Here is a 9131-nt window from a genome sequence, read left to right as displayed (position 1 = left end):
GTGGTGCTGCAAAACCCAATGGTCTTAGACATAGTCACAACTGCCCAGGGTGGCACCTGTGCCCTTGTGGAGACACAATGTTGTACATTTATTCCTGACAACCACCAGGACACCTTTACAAGAAGTGTCACGGGAGATTAAGGCGATTTCATGCCTTACTGATGACTCCCTGCAGAGATAGTGGGCATCTCTGGGCTCTACCCAATGTTGGGCTCTAATAATCATAGGTAGCATAACAGGAATATTAATGGTAGGTTGTTGCCTTCTGTATTGCTGCTGTAACCTATGAATTCAGATCGGTGCCCTATGGGCATGGAGCCCCACTAAGAAAACTCCCTCAGCCTAGGGGGTGGAACGTAAGGCCTGTGTGCCAAGCCTGTACATCAAACTGATGTGTCCAAAACTTAGGTATAAAGCCTGTGTGTGTATATCGAGCCTATGTACCCAAAGCTTATGTGTATAACCTGTGTATCCAAGGCCTATGCCTCCCTCGGCCTAGGGGGTGGAGTGTAAGGAACATGCCTGTGCCTTGGTCAAGGATAGGCTGAGGTAGGATGTTTACATCCTGCATGACTCAGTGAGTTCAGAGCACAGGCCTATAACTTCACTTGTTATCACAGCCGTGTAGCCATAACATGGGAAGGCCATCGCTTGCCTCTATGCCACTATTGTCTATAAAAGGTATAATTGCCCTGCCAACATGGTATAGGCATGCTGGTGCCCAGAGAAAGAGAGAGAGCCAAAGCTGTCCATATTTACAGATGGACTGACGGGGGCCAGGACAAAGCTCGTCTTCCTCATGCCCAGAGAGAGAAAGAGGTAAGCTGCTGACCTTGAAGGCAAGGGAGAGCTGGCTGCACAGGTGTGTGGGGGCGCCGCTGGACTAAGCAGCTGAGACAGGGCAAACAGTGTGGAAAAGCTGTTGATGAGAGCTACTGCTGAATGAAATCATCTTTCACCTGCCTGTGGCCCCCCAGTGTTCTTGCTGCTCATCCACCCACTCCCTCCGGACCTCAGCATGGGGTGGAACCTAACCCCGAGCATAACAATTGGTGTAGTCATGAACGTGGCATCTGGGTCATGAAATAATCTGTATACCAAACCACGGTGACATGAGTTTACCTATATAACAAATCTGCCCATGTACCCCTGAACCTAAAATAAAAGTTAAAAGAAAAAAAATTAGGTTTTTATCTTTCCAATTTTTCGGATTGGCAATATAATCTGGCTATCAATTTCTTATAAGATGCGTGATTCGCAAATATTTTCTCTCATTCAATGGGTTGTCATTTCACTCTGTTGATGGTGTCTTGGATACACAAAGTTTTTAATTTTCATGATTTCCAACTTATCTTTCCTTTCTTGACTGTGCTTTTGGTGGGATATCCAAGAAACAACAGTTAAATCCAATGCCATAAAGCTCTCTCCTGTTTCCTTCTAAGAGTTTTATAGTTTTAGCTCTTGTAGTTAGCTCTTTGATCCATTTTTAGTTAATTTTTGTATGTGGTATGAAGTAAGAGTTCAGCTTCATTCTTTTTCATGTTGAATATCTAGTTTTCCCAGCACTATTTATTTAAGACTGTCTCTTTCCCATTGAATGGTCTTGGCAACACTGATGAAAATCATTTTGCCATGTATGTGAGGGTTTATTTCTGAGCTCTCCATTCTTATTCTACCAGTCTATATGTCTGTCTTTACGCCAGTACCACACTGTTTTCATTACTGTAGGTTTGCACTAAGTGAAAATATTTTCACTTCTTAAAGAAGGGATGTGAGTAATCTTGTCTCTGGGGATAACAAACTTGGAAGAAACATTCCTAGTCAGTTTCATGAATGCTGCTATTCTAAGCCCTGGGAATAAAGATCCAGATAGGAGAAATAGACAAGGTCACTAGAGGAGAGTGATCAAACTACAGAGGCATGTGATAAAAAGCTGGGTTTGACCTGTGAAAGCCATTCTTTGGCTCTGTTGCCATCAGATGAATGAGGCCTTTTGTTATTGGCCCTGGTTCTAGCCAACAGTGGGGAGACCTATTTTTTCTGTGACAACATGTGTGCTGATTTGTGTGTTGTACATCATAGCAAGACAGGCGGTTACATCAAAGGCAAAGTAGCAAACGAAAACTACAGATTGTTAACGCTGACCCAGCCTCATCCTGACCAGGTGGGTGCCAATCACCCACAGTCACTAGAGTGGTAGGATTTGCCTGCTAAGAAGGGCAGAGACCAAAACCAGCCTGCACCTCACAACCAAGCCATTAGAAAACGTCTCCAGGAAGCCAAGGGTGAAGGGATCCTTTGTATCATTTCCCTCGGGGCAAGACGTTCAGGTGAAATGTAGCTAGAAACCCTGCCTAGATCTCGAACCCTATCCCAAATTTCTTTGACTGCATTTGGGATACAAAAGGAGAAATCATAAACAAAAGGGAGCTTGTAATGGACTTTCATTTGCCATATGTGCTCACTATATGTCTTTGTTATGGGAAGAAGATGAGTGCTTTTTGCTGAGTAACTTCCAGCCCAAAAATGGTTTGTATCTGGAATTCCAGCCTGATCTCCAGGGGTGGGAGGTGGGGAATATAGCAGGACTGTTAGGGTTATCAGGAAAGTTTTTGCTAGTTTTCCCTGAGAATCGTCTGAACAATGCCAATGTTACCTTTTCATATTGCAAACTTTCTAAGTGTCTGAACACAGTGTCATAGAAACTAGAAATGTCAGTGCCAGGAGGGAGTAACTAGTTTTACGTATATGGCAGTGAAATAGCAATACGATGAGCATAAGTAACTCCAGTTTTGTTTAAGAGGCCTTTACGTATTCCTGCATGCAGGCTAATTTTAGAGCCCTGAGACAACGTACAACAAAAGCAGTCATGTAGTTTTTAAAACTAACTCTGGGATTAAAGGAGAAGTATATAAACAATTAACTATGTTTTGTAGATTTATGGGAGCATTGCTACCTGACCAAGGACAAAAAAAGTCCCAACCTTCTCAGACCCTCACAGGGTCCAGATATCTGCAGTTGTCAGTCACCTCTTGATCCCAACCCCCTCCTCTTCCCCATGCCCTTAATATAAAAGGGCCCTAAATTTGTACTAACTTAAGATGATACTTTAGGACTCCAGTCTGCCATCTTCTCAGTTTGCTGGCTCTCTAAATAAACCTGCTTTTCCTCCCACCAACTCTTCTCTCATGTTTGACTTTTGAGCTGAGAGCACCCGAACCTGGGTTTGGTTACAGCTACACGTTGCCTATACCACAAGACTGGGAATCAGAGAGAGGAGGCAGCTTCCTCTCAGTCACATGACCTGGGCATGTCTGAGCCAGGACTAGGGCAGGCTTCCTAATGCCCTGGATGTTTCTCCACCACCTCCAATGAGTTTTATTGAAGTCACTAGGAGGAAGTAGGAGCAGCAGCTGCTTCCTTCAGCTACAGATCCTGAAGTCTAGAAGTATTCAGATGCCTCAGAGCCTCAGAGGGTGCCTTGCATTTAATAAATGCTCAAAAACTGCCTGCAGGTTGACTGAGTCACTAAACCACTGAATTAAATACTCTTAAGTGATTAGGTAACATCATTAATTGTGTTGGTATTATTGAAATTCTGTTCCCCACCACCTAGAACTTTTATATCCCCTAATAATAGGAAGGATGTTGGCCTCTGTACTCTGGAAGGCAAAAACAAATATAGCTCCTGTAAGAGGCAGGTACATCAAAGGCAAAGTAGCAAACAAAAGCTAAAGATTGTTAATGCTGACCCAGCCTCGTCCTGACCAGGTGGGTGCCAATCACCCACAGTCACTAGAGTGGCAGGATTTGCCTGCATGCAGTACACAGGCATTGCTTACGTAACACACTGGGATGCTGCTATTTTGCCTTTGGATCCTGTACTCCTTCCATGTGGACCTTCCTTTTTCTCAACTTCCTCTTTCACATGCTTCCTTTCTTGTCCTTGCTCCCTTCTCTTCAAGGTTGGTGTCCCCAGGACACCTCCTAGTTACACCAGCTTTCATGAAGCCACACTCAACACTACATTTACTCTTTGACCCCAAATTTCTGCCAGTAAGTCCCCTGCAACCCACACTGGTTCTATTAGCCTAGTCCCTGCTTTCCGAATCTCCCCCTTACTTGGCAAACTGTTTATCATGAGTAAGTATGGAACGTGCCCTGGATGTGATGTGGGTAGCCCACCCCAACATAACACAACAAAGCCAACACACACCTTAACAGGATCTTTCAATGCCATACTAGCACAATTTACCAGTAGGGGTATTTTGGGTATCTGAGGAGGCTCGTGGGTGGAGCTCCCAGGATTCCTCACTCTGGGTCCACCCTGCACGGCCTGTGCATTAACCCCCTGGGGTGGGGCACGAGAGGAGGACCATTGTGAAGACTCAGGTGGGAGTGACTTACAACATCTTACAGGGACTCTCTTCTTTAGCTGCACGTAAGAATCAGCTGGAAGAATTAAAAACTGCTGAAGCCCAGACCACAAAAGAAAAAACTGAATCCAAAAGCCATGGGACAATATCAAATAGTCTAGCATATATATCATTAAAATCCCAAAGAAAAAGAGGAAAGAACAGAGAAGAAGAAATATTTGAAGAAATAGTAGCAGGGAATTTTCCAAAAATAATAAATGCATGCATGAAACCACCCACAAATCATAAAACTCGTAGAAATCCAAGTAGAATACATATCTAAAAGAAAGACAAAGAAGTTTGGAAGATTTCCTAGATACATCATGTTTAAACTGTTTAAAGATGATGAGAAAAATGTTAAGGCAGTGGAAATAGGAGATTCATTGCATACAGAAAAACAATTACAGACATCTTCTCATCGGAAACCACCAAGGCCAGGAGAATAGAAGACAACAAGGCCAAAAAAGTCGTTTTTTTTCCTGAGTATTTAGGTAAGATCAGCATTTTTAATGTTAGGAAAAGTAACAAATATCACCAAATCTGTAAGGTAAATTCACAGAACCAAAGGTTTGGCGGCAGAGGGATAAGATCAACTGAAAAAAAAAAAAAGTTGACTTTAGAAAAGAGAGGAGCAGAGTCTGTAAAATTTTTTCTTAGACTGGTCTGTTTTGAAACTCACCTTTGTATTTGTTATTTGTGAGTAAGACATTAGGCTTTATGTTCTCAAATACATTTTAAGCTGAGTAGCCCTTGCAAATCCATCTCACTTAGGCTAAGTTGGGGGCAGAAACAGCCCTTTTCCCTTTCAGCTTCCTCCCAAAAGCTTAGCCAAACTATTTCTAAATACACATCTCATTCTCAACTTTTCAATTGAGCTATCTTATATACTTGAGTGGGGAAATGGGCTAATGATAGTCTATTTGATTATGTAATTCCTTAAACTGTCTTGTATGTGTGGCCTATCATCTAGGTCACTTAGCCACTATTGAAGTTTTATGTATTGAAACACCCTGTTACTCAAGCATGCCTCCTATTCTCTGTGACCATGCTACTCAAATGTTTGCTTGCATAGGAATCATTCCTTGTCAGGCTGACCCATGCCCCAAAGATGTCCCTGTCCTGATCCCTGGAACCTGGAAATGTTACTTTATATGGTAAAAGGAACCTTGCAGATGTAATTAAATAAGAATCTTGAGATGGAGACATTTTTCTGAATTATCCAGGTGGGTTCTGTGAATCACAGGTGTCCTTCTAAGAGGGAGGCAAGAGACCAGAGCAGAAGTAGGAATATTACAACAGAAGCAGGAGGCTGGTGTGATGCAAGGAAGGGGTTATGAGCCAAGGCCTGCAGGCAGCCTCCAGGAGCTAAAAAAATAAGGTACAGAAACAGGCTCTCCCCTGCAGCCTCCAGAAAGCTCTGATACCTTGAGTTTAGCCCAGTGAAAATGATTTCTAGAAGAATAAGAGAATAAATTTGATTGTTTAGCCGCCAAACTCACAGCAACTTGTGGCAGCAGCAATAGGAAGCTAATACACACCCAGTGCTTGGTAAAATATAAACTCCAAAACAGCACTTCCAGAGAGCTGAACGAGTTGCTCAGGAATCTGAGTTTTCAATAAGCACTTTGATGATTGTGATGCAGTTGGTCCATAAAATACACTTAAGAAATACTTCAAAGTTCTATACAAATGTCAGGTATTTTTATGACGAGCTTAGGGAATTCAGGCATTATTTTTTCATTTGTAACATTAACATGACAACTGTGATAAGGTGATATTTTATGTCTCCCTCCACAAAAGGCAATTATGGGATTCACAGTTATTATTTAGCTTTGTTCTATGCACTAACAGATTTAACATGGAAAATAATTCCCCCATAAACATATTATAATACAACAATATTCAGTGTTTTAAACAGCCTGATTCTGTTTAGACTCATTTGAGAACAGAGAAAGAGGGAAAATCCAGACATTTTTAGTATTGCCTAAAATTAGTCCCACCCGAATATATGCCGCCAGGTGCGGTTATGCTCTTATTTCTTTGTTTTTTTTTTTCCTTCATGAACTTTCCACGTGTTCCTCCAGCTAATGTTGCCCTTTTTACTAGCCTTTTCACCAAATGTGGGTAAAATGTTAAGTTTTCACTCCAATAGAGGGGGCTTGTGGAAGGTGTCCCAGGATCTCCTAGGGCACCAATATGCTTCATGCTCAACAGTAAGGCTTTGTTAAAATGCTTCATGTTTGTGCGTCAAAGACAAAATACAGAGGAACCAGGAGAAAATGGGCAGTCAACTTGGGGGAAAAAGGTTTGTGCCTTTTTGAAAAGATATCTTTTAAAACTAGTTTTATTTCCTAGAGATTGAGATGGAGTGAGTCTCACAGAGGTGTTCAGTGGCCTGTCAGCTTGGAGGGTGCTCCCTTACACCCTGCATGCCCTCACCTTCCACCACACACACACCCCACACACACACCCCATCCCCTCACCTTCCCCCGCACTCACAGAGCTAATGTCAACATACAGACAGACCTCAAAAAGTGTCAGGGACTGACTTCCAGGACTCGGATCTTAGATAAGCCTCCCTTACCAGAACCCACATCTACATCTTCCTGGAACATAGATGTTGCTTTGGAATAATTTAGACTGGGAACTTATAGCTTGGCTTTACTCAGTCTTCTGTTTTTCATACCATGTAGCAAAGTCTGGGTGGATGCCCAGTCACCACCATCAACCTGGGGTATGGAAACCTGATGGCTACTCTGAATTCTCAGACAGGGTCTATTATTCATTAGCCTCTGCTCCACTTTGTTCAAATCTTGAATTCATACTCTATCACACTTATTTACCTGTGTGTGATTCTCCGTTAGACTATGATCTTGGAAAAAAATTGCCATTCATTGCCAGCTTTGTGTCATCGGTTCTTAGGTGCAGAATGGTGATTAACTAATAATGCCCCTATTGATTTGGGGGTCTGAGGAGTGATGCTTAACAGTGTCATAGAGGACGTGTTATGACTACTCTAGGGAACAGATTAATTAACTTCCTGCTCAGATGTCAACTGGAAGTATTCTTTCCAAAATAGAGGAGTTCCTTATCATTCTCATCCCTACCTCACATGTCCTGTGTTGCTGCAGAGACTCAACCCAGAGATCACAATCTTAGACTAGAGAGAACAAAAGAGCCAAGCAGACAATCTGAAGACAGCCCCACTGTCATACAAAATGCAAGCAGCCAACAGTATTTAGAGTATGATGAGCGATGCAAGCCTCCACAGGAATGGATGGATAGAGACTGGAGTTGAAAATGAACTTTGAGCATTTGCATCTGCAGATACCAGGTACTTTCTTCAAAGATCAGTGAAGGTTTCCATGGATGTCCTTTTCCCAGTGTAAATGAGGTGGGCAAAGCAGGAAATGGTACAGAGGAGGGTCAACAGAACTCACCAACACTCCACATCAATCAATCCAAAAGTTTGATTGGATTCCAGCCAAAAGCACTCTTCTGAGGGAGAAAGCTTTTTTATTCTGCCAACCTCCCAGACTCTCTTGTCATCCCTTGGCCATCTCCCCTGAGAAAAGGCACAATGATTCTGATGGATTGGAACCCAGACCATTCTCTGGATCTATCCCATTGTGGGGCACATCTGTGTCCTGTGCCTCATGTCAGAAATTAGGCTCTGTACCTCCTCTTTCACATCTAGTGCTCAGGTATAAAGGGCGCTTTTGTGCTTTCTGTCATTTCTTGAAAAGCAGATCTGGGAAGAGTCTCACAAAAGGGCAGTCTCTCCTGCTGTATCTCTGCTCTGCGTAGAATTGGTAGTAAACTGGTCTGCCAGGTCCCCTGTGAGCAGCAACTTGTTCATGTGATATTGTTCCCCCAGTCTGCTTTTGGTGCTCACAGGCATTCTGGCCTCCGGATTTAGATGTGGGGAGGAAGTACAAAAACCCACTTACACCTAAGACCTATAACATTTAAGGCAGATGATTAGACTCCTAAAAGCCATTTTCCTCCTACTTCTTACTGACTGAATCTTTTTCCTATTGTAGAAACTGATAATGCCATTTATTCTCTCAGCTTCTTTGCACTTAGGGGTTGCCATGGAATTCAGTTCTGATCAATGAGTCATATTACAAAGCTTCTGGAAACCATATTCTTCCTAAATAAAAATAAACAGGTGTTTGAAGAAAGCCCCTTTTATTTGCTCTTTTTAGGCTTTTTTTTTTTTTTTTAACACAATTGTGTTGGGATATGTGCTTGGAGGTGAGGCTGTCATCTTGTAACCATAAAGGGACACATCTCAATAAAAGACAGTATATTGAGGAGCATGGCAGAGGCAGGGAGGAAGGTATGAGTCCCTAAGGACAGTTTTGAGACTTTGCCTCTTTTCACAAAACCAAGTATAGCCTAGCTACCTCTGGATGACTCGTTACATAACACAGTTAACCTCTCACCATTTAGGGCAGTTCGAGTTGCACATTCTGCAACTTGAAATCAGTGACATCTTAACTGGTACAATCTGCTCTTGTGAAGGTTTTAAGGTCCTCCTCAAGATCATTAAAGTGGTACTTCATTCCTCCATTGGCTTCTGATCTTTGTATGTGTTTTTCATGTGATACAAAACTCCAGAACTCTAGAAGAGAAAAGCAGTGGAAGGGACCCTAAACGCCTAACACAATATTCCATTGTCCATACAGAAAATTCTCATAAGTTCCTACATTA

At 42.5% G+C, this 9131-nt stretch overlaps 1 annotated feature.

Annotated features, from left to right (window-relative positions):
- Positions 379–878: an enhancer, noted in NCBI's record as "H3K4me1 hESC enhancer chr2:127128995-127129494 (GRCh37/hg19 assembly coordinates)". NCBI's record gives its function as "activates a minimal SCP1, AML or CMV promoter by ChIP-STARR-seq in naive H9 embryonic stem cells {active_cell/tissue: H9 hESC(naive)}" and the evidence as "EXISTENCE:reporter gene assay evidence [ECO:0000049][PMID:30033119]".

Source organism: Homo sapiens, chromosome 2, assembly GCF_000001405.40.
Source record: "Homo sapiens chromosome 2, GRCh38.p14 Primary Assembly".
NCBI classification, from domain to species: domain Eukaryota; kingdom Metazoa; phylum Chordata; class Mammalia; order Primates; family Hominidae; genus Homo; species Homo sapiens.
This window is presented reverse-complemented; position numbering and strand designations above follow the sequence as displayed.